Raw genomic sequence first — 21,425 nt, forward strand, 5'->3', positions numbered from 1 at the left:
AGTGTATTTTATAGGTAGCCCAAGACAATTCTTCTTTCATTGTAGCCCAAGGAAGCCAAAACACTGGACACCCCTGCTATAAAGTTTAAAATACAACAAAGCCTGACGTCTTAACCTTTAGTCAGATATTTTTAATAGGGTAATTAAAAAAATTGGAAGTATGTTTTGAATTGCATTAACCTATCTTCACCTTACTATCTGCCAGCTTGTTTCTGTCCCCCCATTAATGAATTCATTCCTTTAGCAAGTACTTAGCAAGCATCTGCCATGTCCATCTCTTATGTGCTAGACACAGAGCTGGGCCCTGGAGACTTAACAAGATACAAGAATATGGTCTCTACCTTAGTGACCTTATGGCCTAGCATAGAGGACAGGAGTTAAAGGTGCTATTGTCACAAAATTGCCTTCCCCTCCCCACCTTGCAAGACCCTCTGTACTAGTACACTTACCAGTGACTTCTTGTGTAAGGGCAACTCATAGTCACCCTGCCTCCCACTGGATGGTGAAGCCTTGGGAGGCAAGAAGTGATCACGTCTTATCCATCTTGACCCCCCACACCCATCCCAGGGCAACTACGGTGACCATGTTTGAGCTTATGACTTCAAAATCATTACCATGAAATGCCAGGTAAGTGAGAAACAGTGCAACACAAATGATTACAAATCAAAGCAGTATGGGAGACTGGGGTTCAAATCTTGGCTTTGCCACTTAGTGGTATGTGACTCTGGTCATTTTTGGTGTTTCTAGTCTCAGCTTTGCTCATTTTTAAAATGAAGGCTAATAATTCCTAGCCTAAGGGTTTGTATGAGAGATAAATAACTATTAAATGATATATATTGAAAATGCTTTGCATTTCTGGCAACACTTGTAAAAACCTATAGAGATTAGTAACATGGGTTTCTACCCTAGAACTAAGTGGCTATTGGGTGGTAAACAGGGTGGTACTGAAGGGTTTCAGCCTTTATGATAGGAGGTTTTTCAGAGTATGAGTTTTTCATTAAAAAAGGAGTGACAACATTTACCTGGATAGAGATGGGGGTTAGAAAAAAGCCTTCAACCGTAGAAGTAGCGTTGAATTGACTGTTAAATGAATGTTAGCTTTTCAGCTGGTCATGGAGTCGAGGGAGAGAGGATGGGGTAAGGGCGAGGATGGCATGGCCTCCAGGCAGAAAGTGCAGTGTGTGAGAGCCAGGTGGGCTTGTTGGCTTGTAAGTAGTTAGGTGGTGCTGGCCAGGTGGCCTGCAGTAAGAGGTAAGGCTGAGAGGAGGCAGGGACAGTGAGTGCAAGACCTACTAGAGTTGATGAAGGGGAGCCACTGAAGTGTTTAGGCTTCAAAGGGATGTGACAAAATTCTCCTGCCTTTGGTGATTGCTAATGGTGAGATGCAGGCAGGGAGAGCAGATAGGACATGACTGCAGTTGTCTAGGAGAGAAATAATATGGTCTGAATCAAGGTAAAAGCAGCATTGATGGTGAGAAAAAGGCAGGTGTGAGAGCTATTAAGAAAGTTGATGAGATGTCTGCACGCCCATGTTCATCTCAGCATGTTCACAACAGGCAAAATACAGAATTAGCCTAAACTTCCATTGAGAAATGAATGGAAACACACACACACGCATGCACACACACATGCACACACCACACACATACACATATACACACACACAGTGGAATACTATTCAGCCACAAAAAGAAGGAAGACCTGTCATTTGCAACAACATGGATGGGTCTGGAGGATATGATGCTAAGTGAAATACCCCAGGCACAGAAAAACAAGTACATATGACATCACTTATACGTGGAATCTAAAAACGTCAAACTCAGAAGCAAATAGTGGAATGGTGGTTTTCAGAACCTGGGGGGTGGGGTGGGAAGAGGGAGATATTAGTTAAAGGGTATAAAGTTTTAGTTAGACAAGAGGAGTACTTTCTGGAGATCTATTGCACAGCATAGTGACTATAGTGAATAATAATGTATTGCATACTTGAAAATTGCCAAGAGAGTAGATCTTAAATATTTCTGGCACAAAAACGTTGTAAGATGTGAGGTGATGGATTTGTTAATTAGCTTAATTTAATCATTCCACGATGTACACATATATCAAAACATCACATTTTGCACCATAAATATATACAATGGAAAGAAGGACTTCACTGGACTCAGAAGCTGGATTGAATGTAGGGATGGAGGGACAGGATGCTGTTTAGAGTGATGTAGTAGTTGTTTTTTTTTCCCGCCCCAAGCCCCTTTGTGGGGCCATCCTCCAAAATGCCATGAGTGCTGGCTGCTGACAATGCATTACTGCACCTCCTTTTGGAGAATTTGCTTGGCCTCATGAGAACTCCCTTGCTGGAAATGCCTGGGAGGCTAGGTACCCCTACCAGGGCAGCCCATGACCAATAATGACTGACCAATATGGGTATCCAAAAGCCTGGCCCCCTGCCTCAGTGTGAGACAGTTGTACCATTTATGTGCCTGAGTTCCCTCTGGAGTTAGGCAGGGATTTGGCTTATTCCGTAGCATTTTCTCAGTGAATCACTTGCTTCCCAGCTCAGGCTTAAGTAACTGGATGGACACTGGTGTCCTTCAAGATGGGGAATGGGGGAGTAGAAGGCCCACTTGTGTCAAGTTTATGAATGGAACTGAAGTGCAGCGTGAGCATTTCCCCCCACAGAATGTGTTCACTAGACTCATGGAGCCTGGAGGAAGAAACCGCTATCTGTAGTATGTTTGTACTTGCAATTAGTTCTCTGACCAAATGCAAATGGACAGTTTTATCTTTGACACTTTGAGAAGATGGAGCAATGCCTGCTTCAGTGTCCAGCCTCTGTGGTGTCAGTGCTTGAGTAATATTGGCCTCATAGAGGCCTCTAGTCAAGTCCTGCCTTTGCCATCTGCCAGCTGTGTGACACTGGGTTATGTTACTTAGCCTCCCTGAGCCTTATATTCCTGATCCCCCAAATAGGGAAATAATAGCATTTAACTCAGGTGATAATTGTGATAATTAAATCAGATAATACATGTTTGTGTTTATAATGCAGGCTGGAATTCCGTTAAGTGCAAAAAAAAAAAATAAGTAATTCCTACAATGAATAACACAACGCTTTGACAACGATGCCCATTTGTGATTGTAAATGTCTCAGGCTTAGATTTACCTCATCGAAGTCAGCAATGATCTCATTGAGCAAGCGCAGGCATTCCACTCCCTGGTTATTCATTTCAGTCTGAGAGTAAAAGTCCGCAAATCCTGGGATGGAGGCAAACATCACCCCAACAGCATCATAGGATTGAGAATACAGCTCCTGGACAGAGACACACAGAGGGCACCAGAAATGGTCATCAGAGGTCGGTTCTGCAGTGATGCTTCCTGTGCACACATGTGGGTACACACGTGCACAGTCACCCACAGAGAGACAGAAAATGAGGCTTGGATATCGTTATGTCAACAGTGTGTTTTAGTCCATGTGGGCTGCTATAACAAAATACCTTAGACTGAGTGGCTTATAAACAACAGAAATTTATTTCTCACAGTTCTGGAGGCTAAGAAGTCCAAGATCAAGGTACTGGCAGATATGATGTCTGGTGAGGACTCACTTTCTGGTTCAGAGATGTTGATTTCTCACTGTGTCCTCAAGTGGTGGAAGAAGCAAAGCAAATCTTTGGGGCCTTTTAAAATGAGGGCACTAATCCCATCCAGTAGGGGTTTTACCTTCATGATCTAATCACCTCCCAAATTTCCCACCTCCTAATACCATCACCTTGTGAGTTAGGGTTTCAACATAGGAATTCTGGAGGATCATGAATATTCAGTCCATTGCACCACAGTCACAGCATCATCACCATATGGAATGTGATGACTGAAAATTCATGGTCTCCAGCCTCAGCTGGGGCCTGAGTTCTGACTGCCAGTTCATTCATTCTTGGTAAGCTTCCTTTTCTTTTCTCCTCAATGGCTAGTCCAAACCTTCAGATCTCCACTTAACCCTCTACTCTATTTCTCTCAGTGGATGATCTTACCTTTCTACTTCATTGAGAACATGGTGGTGGCTCTTGGTGGTGACTTACCTCTGTTCCAATCCTCATAGACTTGCCTGTTATTCATTTTCTTCTCTTTCACTTCAACTCCAGATGATGATGTGTCTGTCTTTCCTTCTCTTGCTGAAGGTCAATACTTCTACCTGATCATTTTATAACTTCTTCAGCAATTTACTTTTTCAGTGATCCTTTTCTTTCTCATTTCTTTCTCCTAGCCTCCTCTCCCTGCTCCTCCTCATCTTCTAAGAGTCTCTTCTAAGAAAAAGAACAAAGTGCCCTGGATCCTGCAGACACTTGTGGCTATCAACTAGGTTCTCTTCCTCCTTGTTTCCAAACTTCTCAAACTAGTTACCTTCACTGCCTATTCCCACGCTCTTAATGCCCACTGGCATCTCAGACTGGAATGAAATGAACTAAGAACAGTCTAGCCTGCAGTCAAAGTGGAAAAATCAATGCACACATGTAAGTTTATATCCTGCTGGACACCTGCAGATTGGTGTTTTTATTGATCACCCCAAGATCTTGATTCTCTTGACTTTTTATGCTTTAGTGATGTCCTTTGCTTTTCTCATGCCTGGCCCCTTTGAGAATGCCTTTTTTTTTTTTTTTTTTTTGCTTCTCTTACACCTTAAATGTTGGTGATTGCTATGGTTCTGTCCTTGGCCCACTGAATGGCTCAACTTTACACACTTACCTGGTCCATCTCGTTTCAATACCCATGTGCTGACGGTTTCTAAATTCCTGTGTTAAGGTTAGTTATCCTTCTTGGGCTTCAAGCTACCATGTCTCATGCTTGGTTGCCCTCACCCTCCTCCAATCACAAATTCCATAAACTGAGTGCATCTTCTCTCCAACTAAGCCTGTGTCTACTGCATTGCTCTCTAATTCACTTGGTGGCACCAGCATTGCCAAATCATCAAAATGAGAGACCCTTAGAGTCATCCTGACTCCTTCCCCATTGTATCCATCTTCAATAAATCATCAAGTTCTGCTGGGCTTGTTTTTGTCTTCTAAACATATTTGCTCCTACCACTGTGTGTGTGTTTTTAAAAATCGGGCTCTTCCCATTTTCCTTCTTGATCACTAAAATGAGAGCCTTCTACTGGGTTTCCTGACTCCAGTCTTGTTCCATTCAAAGGCATCCTTCACACAGCAGCCAGAGTGATCTATTAAAGATACACTATTGACCATGCCTCTCCCTATCTTAAATCCCTCCAATGGCTCACCATTGCCCTCAGGATAAAGCTCACACACTGAAGCATGACATATATGCATGCCCCTGCCTCCACCTATCTCTTCAGCTTTATTGTCTGCAACTCCCCAGTTGGATATGTGCTCCAGAACACGGAAGCATTTGTACTTCTGTGTGCATGTGGTGTCTGATGCTGTAGGTGCTCTGCCTGCATCCTCTCACCCAGTGTTCAAGTGTCAACCCTTGTGTTTCTTCTCCGCTAGATGGTGTTTTTGTCTGGCCACTAGAGGGCACTCTGCCCAAGTGACACGCAGCCTTGGGAGGTGCCAGGAAATTAACACCCCTCAGAAGCAGCACTTGACCAATGCCAGTGGGAACTGCTGGAGAGTCCCGGCTCCCTCGCCCCTTGGGCCTGATAACTTTGAGGCATGCTCTCACACCATTTCCCTGAATTTCCCAGCCGGATTAAGCTCCAGTCGCCCACAGAGGTAACTAATCGGATGATGCATCATTTATCGGTTGCCTTCCTTTTCATTTTCCAAGCTACTTGTGTTTACTGGGACCACCGCTGAGTAAATTACTTGCATTCAAATCCTTGTCTCAAGGTTTGCTTCTGGAAGAACCCAAACAAAGACACAAACCCTGTTCTATTTCACACTTAAATGCTTTTATTCCTACCGTCTGTCCCTGGGTGGGAAATGTTCTTCCTTCCCTGCAGTTAGCTTCCTTTACCAGGCTAACTCTTGTTTTCTGCCTCCGCTAACCATTTAGAGACCACGACTTCCACAAGTCACAGAGGGGGTTTAGAGGCTGCACTTGGTGCTTTGCAGTGACCTCAAAAACTCTACAGTATAGCCCTTGCCACCTGCATTACTGTCTTAACATCCATTTCTTCCTTCAAGTGTGGATTCCATGAGGGCAAAAACCACATGCCATTCATCTTATTGCACTCCAATTATGTATCATGCGATTAGTAGTTTTTAGATGCCCCTATATAATGCACACCCTAGACAGTCTGGTCCAAGGTAAATACTCAAAACTGTTGGTTGATTAATGACTTCCTGACCTTCGTAGGAAACATGAAACCTTATAAATTGCTTTCATATGAATTCAGTGATTTAATCCTTGCAATAATTCTATGAAGTCATATGATAATTATTCCCACTTTACTGATACAGGAAATGAGACAGAGAGGAGTTAAGTCATTGTTTTGGATCACACAGCTAGTAGTGGAAGAGAGGATCAGAGGACTCCCAAGGCCTTTCCCTGCACTACACATGTGAGTGTGCCTCCTCCACATGCATGCCCTAGGTCAGAGAAAGATGGTGTCACTGATTCATCATCAATTTCTCTTGAACTTTAAGCATGGATTAATCTAAACTGATGCCTTCTTTAGTCCTTATCCAAAAGAGCACAGGCAGCTGATGACTGGCTAGGTAGGGCTGGGCAGGGTAGAAAGAGTGCAGATAGCAGTCAGGGAGCAGAGCAAAGGTAAATGGCTTTCAAAGGTGGATTTCTGTTTTCCTTGGCTTTGAACAATATGGTGATGCCACGAAGGAGCCTGACTGTGCAGCAGGAGTCAGAGATCCTGCTTAAGTAAATGTGCATCCTCCTAATGGCTGTGGTTTGGTGGGAAAGTCTCTGTTTACTGTATTACCTATAGTATTTGTTTGCTAGGGCTGTTGTAATAAAGGACCATAGACTCTGTGGCTTAAACAACAGATGTTAGTTTTCTCACAATTGGAGAGGCTGGAAGTCTAAGTTCAAGGTGTTGGCAGGTTGGTGTTGTCAGAGGGCTTTCCCCATGGTTGCAGATGCTGTCTTCCCTGTGTCTTCACTTGGTCTTCCCTTAGGTTCTAGTCTCCTCTTTCTATTAGGGCACCAGTCATGTTGGGTTAGGTCCCCCTAATGACCTCAGTTTAACTTAATTACCTCTTTAAAGATGCTGTCTCTAAATACAGTTACATTTTGAGATCCTTGGGGTTAGGACTTCAACATATAAATTTTCGGGAGACATAATTCAGTCCATTATGCCTATATTTTTATTTTCTGCTTAGAAATAGAGAAAAAAGAGAAGATCCTACCCTCTAAAATTCATTGTGTAATTATGCAGTCCAGATCCCTTCCCACTTTGGTTTATGCCCTGTGATGTAAATGTCTCCATGGTATAAAATGGCAGGCAGCCAGGGGTGTCTTAACGATTGTTTGTCTCCCTGAATATTCTAATGAATGCCAGCTCCTCTCACACTCTTTTGTTTTTGTTTTTTGAGACAGAGTCTCACTCTATTGCCCAGGCTGGAGTGCAGTGGCAGGATCTATGCTCACTGCAACCTCCACCTCCTGGGTTCAAGTGATTCTCATGTCTCAACCCCCTGAGTAGCTGGGGTTACAGGCGCCTGCCATCATACCAGGCTAATTTTTGTATTTTTAGTAGAGATGGGGTTTCATCACATTGGCCAGGCTGGTCTTGAACTCCTGGCCTCCAGCGATCTACCCACCTAGGCCTCCCAAAGTGTTGGGATTATAGGCATGAGCTACTGCCCCCAGCCTCATGCCCTTTTCCTTAGTTTTATTTCTCAGTCTTTCCATCATTTGAAATATTCTGATTGCTTAAATAAAAATGTGATAATAATATTAGCTACTTTTTTGAGCACTTACTATGTGCCAAGCACAATGCAAAAGATTGCACATACATCATCTCATTTAATGTTTACCATGTCCCCATGAGACAGATACAAGTAAGACCCTTATTTCATCTATGGGGAAACTGGGGGATACAGAGATTAAATACTTTACCCGAGCCCCATAGTTGTTATGACGTAGAGCTGAAATTTGTACTGCTAATAATAACTATAATTATAGCAACAACAACAGCAGTAATAATAATAATGACAAGCAGGAATAAGTGACATGGAAACTGAAAACTGGTTTAGGTTTGTCCATCTGATTGGGTGGTCGTTTCACAGTGGAGGGGTAAGAAAGAGCTTGAAGAAATATGACCTGAGTTCAGATCTTGATTCTGTGGTATCCTGCTGGAGGTTGGAGAAGTGGGAATAGGGTGGGCTGGGACTCACCCCTCCTTTCCATAAGATGCTAACTGATGGAGGGAGTGGCTACAGGGGTCTGACAGTCAGTTGAAGACCAAACCCCCAACACAGACTCTCAGATAAGGATGGATTGGACAATGTGTCTTGGATCTGAGGCATAAATGGGAACCTTTAGCTCCTTCCTGTGAGACAGAGTGGGACTGAGCTAATTTGTCTATTCAGTGGCTGGCAGGGAGCCTGGAGAATGGTGGGTCTTTAGCTTCTTGTGGGGCAGAAAGGGAAACCTGTGTTATGTGGCTTGCCACATGTGAGGAGAAGGTGGGTTCACCTTGGGCACAAACAGGTCCATGAGGATACAAGACAGATTGAGGTCTTTGTGGGTCTTTAGCACCCGGGCCCCACAATTGTCTCGAGGTCCAGTGACCCTGTCTTTCCCCAGTCTGGTGGGGTAAAGCACCATAAGAGAGGGAGAGACTCCCTCCCCGGCATTTCCCCACAGGGTGGACGGTGTTAGAGGGATTTCCTCCTCAGCTGGTGAAGGCAGGAACGTGGGAAGAGAGGAGCGCTCGACCCCCACAGCTGTGGGCACATGACTCTGGGCAAGTGAGGTGACTCCTCTGACCACAGGTCCCTCAGCAGTTGATGACAGTGCCAGCTCTTGCTCTGCTTTTGCCCTTGGTGGCCCTGAGATGCTCCACTCCAGTTGTCTGCCTGCTCCTCTGTGCCATGACTGGCAGTGGCTACTCACGCTGGTTCCAGTAACTGCTTTTTCTCCTTGTCCCTTTCAGCCTGGGAGCCATCACAGCTTCCCACAATTGCTGAGCACAGTGGAATATTCATCTCCTCCTTATCCCTATTGCTTCAATTAGAGACCCAGCAGAAAAGAGGGCACACATTCAGATCAAGATGATTCAGGAAGGGTTAACTGATAAAGGGCTTAATTAGAAAGATGAGGGCAGGAAGTAGGGAAACCCTAAGAAATCTCCCAGAAACCCAAGGCTAGTGGTGGGAGAGCAGTCATCCCTCTAGGCTCAAAGGGATGAGAAGAGCCCAAAAGGAGTGAGCTCGTTTGACATTGGAGGCAGCACAGCAGTGGCCTTGGGAGGAGATATTAATTTCTGTGAAGTGACATAGCCAGCCTCAGGCAATCGCAAGGGAATAAACATCCTCACCTCACATTCCTCACTTCCCCTCATCTCTTACCCAGGGCCGGCCATTGATGATCCCTCACCTGGGTGCCTGAGGGCCTAGCAGGTCACAGATGTAACCCATGTAGATGAGCCCTCTCACCCGTGACCCCTCAGGAAGAGCAGAGAGAAGAGGTGAAGGGATTTTGAGGGGCACACGGAGGAGCTCTGGACAACCTACATACACCTTCCGAGACAGTCCCTTCACTCAACTCACTCCAGTCAACAGCCTTGAGTGTGCCATCTGTTTCTTGATATTTTGGGCTTCAAAAATATAAAAACACTTTGTAAACTGGGGAGGAATTGATGAATATAGAAAAGCTATTATTGGTTTATTGTGATCTTCCTCTGGTTGGTCGAAGGTATGGACTTAGTAGAGGATTTTGAACATGTGCATGCGCTCCGTCGCACACCTGCATATGTCAGTATGAGGACTGACGTCCTCTCTGCCTGGGGAACTATAGTCTGGTCCTTCACCTGCTCAAGCAACTCCAAGTCCTGCGTTGCTTATACCAAGTTAAGCCACCTCTCAGCATGGGAGAAACTATGTCTGAGACTTGCAAACCTTATTAGCATCCTTTCATGTCATTCAGGTCTCTGATCAAATGTCACCTCCTTAGAGAGAGCTTCCATGACCCTTGCTCTTTTCTGAATGTGTCCCCCAAATTCATATGTTGAAACTTCACTGCCAGTGGGATAGTATTAAGAGGTGAGGGCTTTAGGAGGTGACTAAGTGATAAAGGTGGAGCTCTCATGAATAGCATTAAGGCCCTTGTTAAAGGGTATGAGGGAGTGGATTTCTTCTTTCTGGCTCTTACACCATGTGGGGGCACAGAGTTTAAAGTGCCATCGTGGAAGCAGAAACAAGGGCCCACACCAGACATGAAACCTGCTGGCACTTTGATCTTGGACTTTCCATTCTCCAGACCTGGGAGGAAAGACATTTCTGTTCTTTAAAAATTGGCCAGTATCGCCGGGCGCGGTGGCTCATGCCTGTAATCCCAGCACTTTGGGAGGCCGAGGCGGGCGGATCACGAGGTCAGGAGATCGAGACCATCCCGGCTAAAACGGTGAAACCCTGTCTCTACTAAAAATACAAAAAATTAGCCGGGCGTAGTGGCGGGCGCCTGTAGTCCCAGCTACTTGGGAGGCTGAGGCAGGAGAATGGCGTGAACCCGGGAGGCGGAGCTTGCAGTGAGCCGAGATCCCGCCACTGCACTCCAGCCTGGGTGACAGAGCGAGACTCCGTCTCAAAAAAAAAAAAAAAAAAAAAAAAAAAAAAAAAAAAAATTGGCCAGTATCAAGTATTTGGTTATAACAGCACAAACAAACTAAGATACCATTGTAAATACCCTTTCAACACTTTATTCCATTATTCAGCTACTTCTATCCTCATCAAATTCATCATTCTCTGACACTATGTTATATATTTATTTATTTGCTTCACTGTCTTGTCTTCCCACAGAAACACATGTTTCAGAGCATCAAGGCCTTTGTTGTTTTTTCACTGTTTTAACCCCGGTATTTAGAATAGCACCTGGCACATGGTTGGCCCTCAATAAATACTTGAGGAAGGAATGGTTGAATGAAGGGATAGGGGATGGGGCTGTGACTGGGAAGGAGTAGAAAAAATAGCAATGACTCACATATATAAAAAACAATAGCCAACAACCAGTGTGCGTTTAAAATATGTCAAGCACCATGTAAGTGCTTTAGGCTTGATAACGCATGTAAATGTAATGAATCAGATGAAGATGCAGAGTATGGTTATGATCCCTTTGTAGCACAACAAGGGGCATGAGGAAAATGAGGTCCAGAAAGGGTTATTATCATTTGCCATTGGTCATAAAGGTAGTGAAAGGAGGAACCAGAACTAAACCCACAGCACTGGGGTTTTGAATGCACCTACACACGGCCTTTCTATAATGAAGCTGCCTGGCACCGGGCTGCATTGGGGACTTAATGTGTTGTTATCCGATTTAGCTCTGACCCCAATTCAGCAAGGTCGGTATTATTTCCCCTATTAATCAGATGAGGAAATGGACTCCAAAGAGTTGGGTAACCTGGCGTAGGTCACACAGCTAGTTAGTGACAGAGATGGGATTTATGCTGTGTGGACTCTCCAGCACCTGGGACAGCTGCCCTTGCTAGTGTCTTTTCAACAACTCCTCATAAAGCCATGATGAGCCAGTGGGTTTCCCGGGACTCAGAGCTAGCCTGCTTGACATTGATGAGATACTCAGGCCGGACCTCCAGCTGGCTTTATCTGCAAGAATGTTCCTGACCAGAGGAAGTGAGTGCTATTCTAAGCCAAAAGCACAGCAGAATAGCAGAAGCTGCCAGAATGTTGGTGTGGGTAACACTGCCTTGGACAGAATGCTTCTGGGTGTGAGGCCCTGTCCACCGCCTGTGTTTGGATGGTTTGAGTCATCCTTTGTCACAGTTTCCCTTCTCTGCATGTACTTACAGTGAGGTGGAGGGGAAAGAACACTGGCTTTGGTGTTACGCATACCTGGGTTTGGATTTGAGCTCACTACTCACTAGCTTTGTGACCATGGGTAAATTTCTTTCCTTCCCTGAGCCTCAGTTTCTTCATCTAGAAAATGGGGATAATAGTTCCTACCTCCTATTACACATTGAATCAGATCCAAGCTACTTCAATGCTCTTCAAGACTTGTCTCTTTGTACTTATGATACCTTTGCTCTGGCCTGTTCTTTCCCTTAAAATATTTGGGTGCTTGTAGTCCCCCCAGTCCTTCTCAGCAAATATCCTATAGTATCTCATTTTTATGCCTTTGGCCATTTGGGCCTGTCTGTCTGGAATTCTTTTCCTCCACCTCCTTGACTGATTAACATCTGGTCCTAGGAGGGTAAGAATTAGAATCATATTACAGTTGAAGAAACTGAGGCTCAGAGAACTTAACTAACTTGCTCCAAATCACACGCTAGTAAGTGGAAGAGCTGGGATTTGAATACATGTCCTTCTGGCTTAATACGTTGGGATTTTCCCACTAGGTCACATGGCCTTATTTGGAACACCTCAAAAGGGGTTAGAATCCAAGGAGGGAGAGAAAAGAGAGTCTGAGCTTGCAGCAATGATGGCACTGATGGCTTTCAGCATACCCCTGGCTGCTGTGGCCAGGGACATACACAAAAGTTACAACTAAGAAGTTATCTGGCTTTGCCAGCTGGAGGCTGTACATTCGGTTCCTCTTTGAGTGCGGTCTGTGGAATTATTTTCTAAAGTGTGAGGCCCACATTGATGCAAACAAGTCAGTTGGAGGCTTTGTGCATCACACAACTCTTCTAGGTCAGCTGAAGATCAGCCATGAAGGCACTGCCACCTCAGGGATACACCTGGGAGATACCTGGCATAAGAGGAAAAGGTGGTGCTTTGGGTGCTATTGTGGCTCCGTGAAACTCACAGATGTCCCCAGTCAGATGTTCAGAAATTTGTATCACAGTTCAGATCTGTAGCAAGAGGAGAAACTAAAAATGCCTTTGCCTCTTACGGTAACAGAGAATGAAACTGGGAGTTCTTGCCGGCCACTACAGTCCTGCCCCTTCCCTGTCACCCTTTCACATATTGTATGACTCTGTCTTTCTCTCTTTTTCTACACACACACACACACACACACACACACACACACACACACTAGTCTTGCCATACTCCAGAGGTGGTATGGGTAGCAGCATTGTAAGGGGGAGAGGGGCACAGAAGAAAGCAATCTGAGGGACTGGACTCCCCTTGTGGCTTTGCATAAAGAAAGTAGGGCATACCCTGCACCTTTCAGGGCCCCAGTTTCCTCATCAATACTATGAGGCTGATGGAACTCTCAAGGTTGTAAATAGAATGAAAGATAATTTTCTCAATTGCCTATTTCAGTATCTGGCATGGAGTAGGTGTTCAGTAAATGATGTTTTATCCTAATGTGAAAATTCTCTAGGCAATGTAACCATGATTGGTGTTTAATCCTAGTCCAGTGTGAACTGTTTAAATATTTATAAAATCTCAAATAATCCTGACAAGATGTCTTATACATGCGATTAATGCTGAAGCAGTCCTTTATTTTGCTTTGGCCTGAATGACAGCTGATGACCTGGAGTCTCAGCATGCGTCTCTGGTTGGTTTCCTTCCTTTCAGGATGGAACCAGTATGTCCTTGCTCTTCTCCACTGGTCCTATGTGCCTCACTGTTTCGGTGTCTTGATTAAAAAGCTGTTTTTTTTTCTCATTTCTCTTTGGATTTTACATGTGGGGTTTTATTGTCTCCATCTGGTGGTCATGGTTGATACACACTGATATTCTCTCTGCTTCCATGGCTTCATCAAGAAGCTCTTGCAACAAAGACACTGACCTTAGGGAGCCTTGAGGAAACCAGGCCTGAGCCCAGTTTCAGGGAACTCCATCTGTTGAGGAGGGTGGAGTCTCCGCACCCAAGAGACTCTCAAAGACCTGAGTACATCAAGATCTGATTATTCCAGTGGCTGATTACTCATTCCCTTGGCTTGTCTTCCACTAGTTTTTCTTCAGTGGCTCAGATGAAAAATGGACCTCATCATTCTCTCCTAGCTCTGCCCTCTATGGTCCTAAGGCAAGGATCACAAACCCCAATGCTTTTAGGGGCGCTACAGGTAACATAAATGGCAGGGTACAGATGGGTAAACTGAAGAGCCATTCATAAATTAACTATAAACCAATCAACTAACCCACTGTCCAAGCCAACTGGCTCATTGGTCAGATTTGTCTCAGGGTCTTAGAGTTCGTAATTCTTGTCCTAAGGGTTTTTCATTTCCTGTTTAGCTCAGTCTGAAAATCTAGTCCTGGAAGAGCGGTATTATCCCTGCCTCTCAGACAATCCATATTGCCTTTGTAGCATCCTCAGCAAGGGGTTAGCTTTCCCAAGTTAAATGCCTCAGCAAGGGAGCCCACTACTCCAGTTCATCCACAGGCATTTTAAGAGCAGGGGCCACAGCCAGGCACAGTGGTGACCAAGGGTGATGTAGTCCCTGCTTTGTGGATCTAACTGTGTTAGGAGGATGAGATGGCCTGATGGCTCTGTCCTTGTAAGGCTCCTCCTAACACGAAACCCAAAGATGTCCCCTGTGGGCCAGTCCATGGTTCTAGACCTTCCCTTGGGAGTCTCACAGAGTAAGACCAAACCCATTCACATAATAATGCCACTTTGGGCTTTCAAAGACACCTTCAGTTCCCTCTTGAGTTACTTTCCCTTGAAGGTTAGAGGGGGAACCAAATCATTTGATTTTGTCATTTCTCACCTCCCACATCTGCTCCATTATCAAGAACTATTGATTCTATATCCTAAAGGTGTCTGTAATTCATCTTCTTCTCTCCATCTCCACTGCCACCATCCTAGGCCTCATCACCAGGGTCTTGCCTGGGCCCTTTTAGAGTCTCCTGCCTGGCTTTGTGTTGCATGATCCTCCTATCCACTCTCTATCAGTAGCCAATTGACTAGGTTACACTTAAAACTTCCAAAGGCTCCCATTGTATGTGGAAATGACCATCGCCCATGGAGCTTGACCATTAGGCTCTGTCTAGGGTTTCCCTTCACAGCTCTCACCATACAACCCTTCCTCCTTCTAGTGGTCCGAATAGTGCCTAGTGCCTCCTGCCACCAACACTCATGCTCCCCTCAACAGTCATGTCCAACATGGTACTATTTGGAAATAGGGTCTTTGCAGGTGTAATTAAGATGAGGTCATACTCAATTAGGGTGAGCCCTAAATCTATGACTGGTGATGTTAAAAGGAGAGTACACTTGTCCTTTTAAGAAGGGCTGTGTGAAAATGGAGAGAGAAATTAGAGCCAAGTGGCCACAGCCAAGAAACTCCTGGGCCTAACAGAAGCTGGAAAAGCCAAGGAGAGATTCTCCCCCAGACCCTATGGAGAGGGCATGAGACTCCCAGCACCTTGATTTCAGACTTCTAGACTGCCTTCATAATGTAATAAGAAAAAACAGTTTTAAGTAAAAAGAACATTAATGAGCATTTGCTACATGCTAGGCAATGGGCTAAGAAGATATATACACACATATGTATGTATATGTGCATATATGTGTATAGATATTGATATATAAATATACACACATGTATCACACATATATGCATACATACATTTATGTATATATACATGCATATATTTTATTATTTTTAATTGTGGTAAAATGCATATAATATACAATTTACCATCTTGATCTTTTTTTTTTTTTTTGAGATGGATTCTCAGTCTGTCGCCCAGGCTGGAGTGCAGTGGCACAATCTCAACTCACTGCAACCTCTGCCCCCCAGGTTCAAACGATACTCCTGCCTCAGCCTCCCAAGTAGCTGGGATTACAGGCGCCTGCCCCCACGCTTGGCTAATTTTTGTAATTTTTAGTAGAGACGGGGTTTCACCATCTTGGCCAGGCTGGTCTTCAACTCCTGACCTCATGGTCCACCCGCCTGAGCCTCCCAAAGTGCTGAGATTATAGGCGTGAGCCACTGCGCCCGGCCATCTTGACCATTTTTAAGTGTATAGTTTAGTGGCATTAAGTATAGTCACATTGTTGTGCAACCATCTTCACCATCTATCTCTGGAACTCTTGTGATCTTGCAAAACTGAAATTCTTTGCACTCATGAAACAATAACTCCAATTCTCCCCTCCCTCCAGCCCTTGGCAACCACCATTCTACTTTTCATCTCTATGAATTTGACCACTCTAGGTACCTTATATAAGTGGAATAATATAGTATTTATTTTTTGCGAATGGCCCATTTTACTTAGCGTAATGTATTCAAAATTCATCCATTGCTGTAGCATGTGTGAGAATTCCCTTCTTTTTAAAGCCTGAATAATATTCCACTTTATGTATATATCACATTTTGTTTATCTATTCGTCCATCAGTGGACCCTTGGGGCTGCTTCAACTTTTTGACTATTGTAAATAATGCTTCTAGATATACAAATATGTCTTTGAGACCCTTTTTTCAATTATTTTGGGTATATAACCAGAAGTGAAATTGTTGTGTATATATACATACATACGTACATACACATACATATATATACATATATATACACACACACATGCATATGCACATACAACTTTAAAATTCCAATGTAGTCTTTCAATGGAGACCTTATTATATCCATCTTGTAGATGAGGTGCCTGAGGTTGGGAGGCCATGTGTAAATTTCATAGTGTTAGGAGTTTCTCCATTCTCATGCACTCACATGATGACAGTGAAATTCTCCCAGAGTTTGGGATCAATGTGAACAACTGCACATCACCCACCACCACCCTTTCTCACTGGCTAGACCAGCCCCTGGCTCACCTCATTGTCTCGGTCCTTCTCTAGGAAATGGCGGGCCACATGGCTGGGTAAGATATTCCGGAGCATGTTCTCATTGTGTTCCCTCAGCTCCTTCATCTCATTGATCTCCTCTTTGGCCTGTACTCGCCAAAGGAAGTCCAGGCGGGCTGTGTACTCCAGCTGCAGTACATGTGAGAGAAAGAGGAGAATGAGGTAAACTTCTGAGGTGTAGGCTTCAGGCACAGACAACTGGGAGGCAGGAAAGGCTTCTCTGGAACTCTTCACAAATGAAACAGAGCCTGATCTGAATATTTTGGGAGGCATTTTGTTGGAAGCCAAGTGATCAGAGAATGATTAGGTTTCACAGGGATGTGCGCCTGCCTTTCACAGCATTATTGCCCCCTGTGATTTCATACTTGTTTGTGTGATTACCTGATAATGTTGGTGTCCTCTACTAGACTGTCAGTGTTGTATGGTGTATTAGTCCATTCTCGTGGTGCTAATCAAAATACACCCAAGACTGGATAATTTATAAAGGAAAGATGTTTAATGGACTTCTAGTTCCACATGGCTGAGGAGGCCTCACAATCATGGTGGAAGATGAAGGAAGAGCAAAGGAACCTCTTACATGGCAGCAGGCAAGTGAGAGCTTGTGCAGGGGAGCTCCCATTTATAAAACCATCAGATCTCATGAAAGTCATTCACTACCATGAGAACAGTATGGGGGAAACTGCCCCCATGGCTCAGTTATCTCCACCTGGACCCATCCTTGACATATGGGGATTATTATAATTCAGGGTGAGATTTGGGTGGGAACACAGCCAAACCATATCATATCGTCAGAGGTGCTTCTATCTGTTCGACTTTACATCCTTACTGTTACAGACTGAATGTCTGTGTCCCTCTCAAATTCATATATTGGAGCCCTAACCCCCAATGTGATGGCATTTAGAGATGGAAACTTTGGGATGTAATTAGGGTTGATGAGGTCATGCTGGTGTATCCCTCAGGATGAGATTACTGCCCTTGTAGGAAGAGACATGAGAACACTCGCTCTTTCTCTCTCCACATGCACACACTAAAAAAAGGCCAGGTTGGGATACAGCAAGCAGGTAGCCAGCCATCTGCAAGCCAAATAAGAGCCCTCATCAGAAAACAAACCCTTCCAGATCTTGACCTTGGACTTCTCAGCCTCCAGAACCATGAGAAGATAAATTTCTGTTGTTAAATACACTCAGTCTATGGCATATTGTTATGTACGACAGGTGGAGATACGAATACACTTACCACGTAGTAACAGGTTTGGCACAGGGCAGGCACTTAATATTTGATGGCTCATTAAATAAGTTATCATAATAAAACTAGCTAACACTTACATGGTGCTTATCATATACCAGGAATGTTTTTAAACAATATACATATATTAAATCCTTTAATCCATGTAATAGCCCTAATAGGAAGGTATTATTGTCATTTCTTATTTTACAGATAAGAAAATCAAAGCAAACATGAATTAATAACTTGACTAAGATCACACATGAGTTAGTGGAAGCCAGGATTTGAACTTGATTCAAAAATCAGAATATAGAATCTGAATTGTTAACCACTAGGTAATATAGAATAAATGAATGAACTCATTAGTGAAAGGATTACAGATTTAGTTGCTAGACAGATATAGCTTAGAGTTCTAGTTCCACATTTACACACTTTAACCCTGGACAAGTTACTTCATCTCAGTTTCCTCATCTCTGAAATTGATGTGAACATCAGTGACCAGGCAGGGGCGGAATAGGCATTATAGGAAGTTATAGATAAACACATGGCACATAGTAGGCACTCAATACACATTGGTTCCCTCTTGTCCTAGCCTCCCCTCTCATGAGAAGGTGCACAGTGTCCTTTCCAAAGGATCTCACAGCCCGTTTTTACTGCAGTTCTGCGTATGTCATTATTTCAGTCTTTAACTGTTGACATGAACAGTATGCTGCCCTGGTAAACACATGGTGAGCTGCCCTGAATTCAAGGGCTTAGACAGTTCAGATAGCTTCTTTTCTTTTTAAAAAAATTTTAAAGTCTCAGTGGATGGCAAAAGTATGAAAAGACCATATGCAAAAGGTTATCCATTCAGCAGAATTTTTAATAACAAAGGCTGGAAACAAACCAAATGTTCATTTTGTTGGCTGAGTAAACTTTAGTACAGAAATATCATTGAACATGATGCAGCTATTAAAAAGAAATGAAGACTATCTCTCCATACTTTGAGGAACTGGTCTCCAAGAGGAGAAAAGTGTATATAGTATGCTACCATTTATCTAAGAAAGATCGATCTCTTTATCCACATGCATGCACACACACATATTTCTTAATTAATTTTTTTTTCTTTTTTTTTTTTTTTTGAGACAGAGTCTCGCTCTGTCGCCCAGGCTGGAGTGCAGTGGCACTATCTCAGCTCACTGCAAGCTCCGCCCCTCGGGTTCACCCCATTCTCCTGCCTCAGCCCCCCGAGTAGCTGGGATCACAGGTGCCTGCCACCACGCCCAGCTAATTTTTTGTATTTTTAGTAGAGACAGGGTTTCACCGTGTTAGCCAGGATGGTCTTGATCTCCTGACCTCGTGATCCACCTGCCTCTGCCTCCCAAAGTGCTGGGATTACAGGCATGAGCCACTGTGACTGGCCTTCTTAATTAATTTATTAAAACATTAACATATAAACCATTTTACATTTTATAAAATGGTTTATATTTTAATCTATGAAATGACAAAGGAAGGGAATGGTGTGGGAAAATAGGGTTAGAATTTAAATTTCTTTAATTATGTCTTGTTTTAAGTAAATAACTTTAGAATAATTCCAATATTTTACTTATTAAACTAAATCTATTATCAAAAAACTCTGTAAAAACAAATAACCAAGCAGACAAACCAACAAATGAACCTACACAGAGAGGAACTATATCAGATGTCCTTTTGCACAATAATTTGATGACATGCTGCCAGAGGGAAATACCCTAAGGATAAAAAGAGCTCAACAAGAATGTCAAAACTGTTTACAATAATCACATTATAGGTGGTAACAATTGTATTAATATACTTAGACTATTATAGTAAATCACAAGATAAAGTAAATGAGTAACTGTGTTGGTGTCATTAAAACTGGAATTTTGGGGAAGAGAAAAAGGAGCTGCAGATACAAGATTGATGAAGTTAAGTCAAAAGCTTGTGGTCCTCACTATGAAGTGGAAGTATCACACTGTGAACTCATGATGTATAGATTTTCTAGCTCTGCCCACTGAAATCAAGTTCTAGAAACAATGAAAACTTAGTAGTAATAACTCCCAGTGTCCAGATTGTGGTTTCTAAATATCAGTTCCTACAAAAAAATTCCCATTCTTTTCAGAGGTGCCCAAATTTTAGGTACTTTTAATTATGTCTTGTTTTAAGTAAATGACTTTATTGGAAGATTTTTTAATACGGGAAACCAGGAGTCTATCAGAGACTACCAGGGTTATGTCAAAATGATGCAAAAGCCAACTTGAATGAACTCCCACTAGTCAAAGATGTGACACGTTTAGCTTAATAAGACTAATAATTGCAATGAATTGAAACACAGAGAATATGGTAAAATGTGTAAATTCAAAATGACACTTAAAAACCAGAACCTCATGGTCACCTCTGAATGATGCTAGGGAAAAAACTTATGGGGAAACTTAAACAAACTTATAGGGAAAAAATTCAGCATTTATCTTTGCTTTATGAATTGTACTTCCAGGTAACAAATAGTGAGGAGATGGTTCTCTTTAGTAACGTATTCCAGCTAATAAATTATGGAGAACTGATAGGATTAGCATATCACTGTATAAAATAAGTGAATATAGGCGATTATCATAAGCAGCTGCTAACATCACAAAAAGATAAGGAGACATTATGCACCCCCTAATTGTAGTCTATAAAACCAACCAATTAAATGTTTTGCAGAAATCATTAAACCTGAATCTCACCAAGCTTCTGGACAGAAATACAGTACAAACAAAACAAAACAAAAACAAAGGACAGGGGAATTTCTTAAATGCCTTAGAGAATGCAATCAATAAACTGTAAGAAATGACAGCCCTGGAAGGTTGAGTCTCTCAAGGTTACCTATTCTTGAAGTGGAATTGCTAGGACTCAAGCAAGAATATTTGGTTCCAAGGCTTGAGTCTTTCCTTCTGAGCCACACAATCTCAGGTGCCTGCCATTATCACACCTGGAAGTTACTGGAGACAGGACCTCATTATTCTCTTTCTCCTTGTGGAGGCGTGGCTTCCTCTGCTAAAACCGAAGAGTCCCAGGCAAAGCCCAAACCTCCAGGGCTACCAGTGAATCAGGCACCAGGTGGGAGGCACCCAGTTGTTTGCTGTCTCTGTTCAATGTTGAGAATGTTCACCTGCCTCAGAGGAGGAAGTGTTTGGCATGTCATTTCCACATATGTGCAAGATAAAAATTTCCAATTATTCAGTTACATAACCACCTCCGTCCCTCTGGAGATGTTTAATTACACATGCCCCCACCAGACGCTTCTGCGTACCAGGCATCAGTGGGCATTATTTAGCCCCTATTAAAAATAGAGGGCCTCTGAGTCACAAGGGAAAACCAGTAGAAGCAGGGAGCAAGCC

The 21,425-nt window shown here is 43.3% G+C and overlaps 1 protein-coding gene across 4 annotated transcripts in view, besides 1 other annotated feature; it reads right to left on the bottom strand.

The window, feature by feature from the left end:
- The window catches only part of ADCY8 (adenylate cyclase 8), a 260,609-nt gene that overhangs the window by 16,971 nt on the left and 222,213 nt on the right, over positions 1-21,425 (bottom strand). For all 4 annotated transcript variants that reach the window (XM_017013006.2, XM_006716501.4, XM_005250769.4 and 1 more), the window contains 2 exons: positions 16,798-16,956; positions 3,155-3,301 (listed from right to left, as the gene is read on the bottom strand). In XM_017013006.2, the coding sequence (XP_016868495.1) occupies positions 3,155-3,301; positions 16,798-16,956 (306 nt within the window). The remainder of the gene's footprint in view (positions 1-3,154; positions 3,302-16,797; positions 16,957-21,425) is intronic.
- Positions 11,817-11,866: a silencer, noted in NCBI's record as "silent region_19555". NCBI's record gives its function as "represses an Ori minimal core promoter by ATAC-STARR-seq in GM12878 lymphoblastoid cells {active_cell/tissue: GM12878}" and the evidence as "EXISTENCE:reporter gene assay evidence [ECO:0000049][PMID:35858748]".

The sequence above is a fragment of the Homo sapiens genome, chromosome 8 (assembly GCF_000001405.40).
Source record: "Homo sapiens chromosome 8, GRCh38.p14 Primary Assembly".
Classification (NCBI taxonomy): Eukaryota; Metazoa; Chordata; class Mammalia; order Primates; family Hominidae; genus Homo; species Homo sapiens.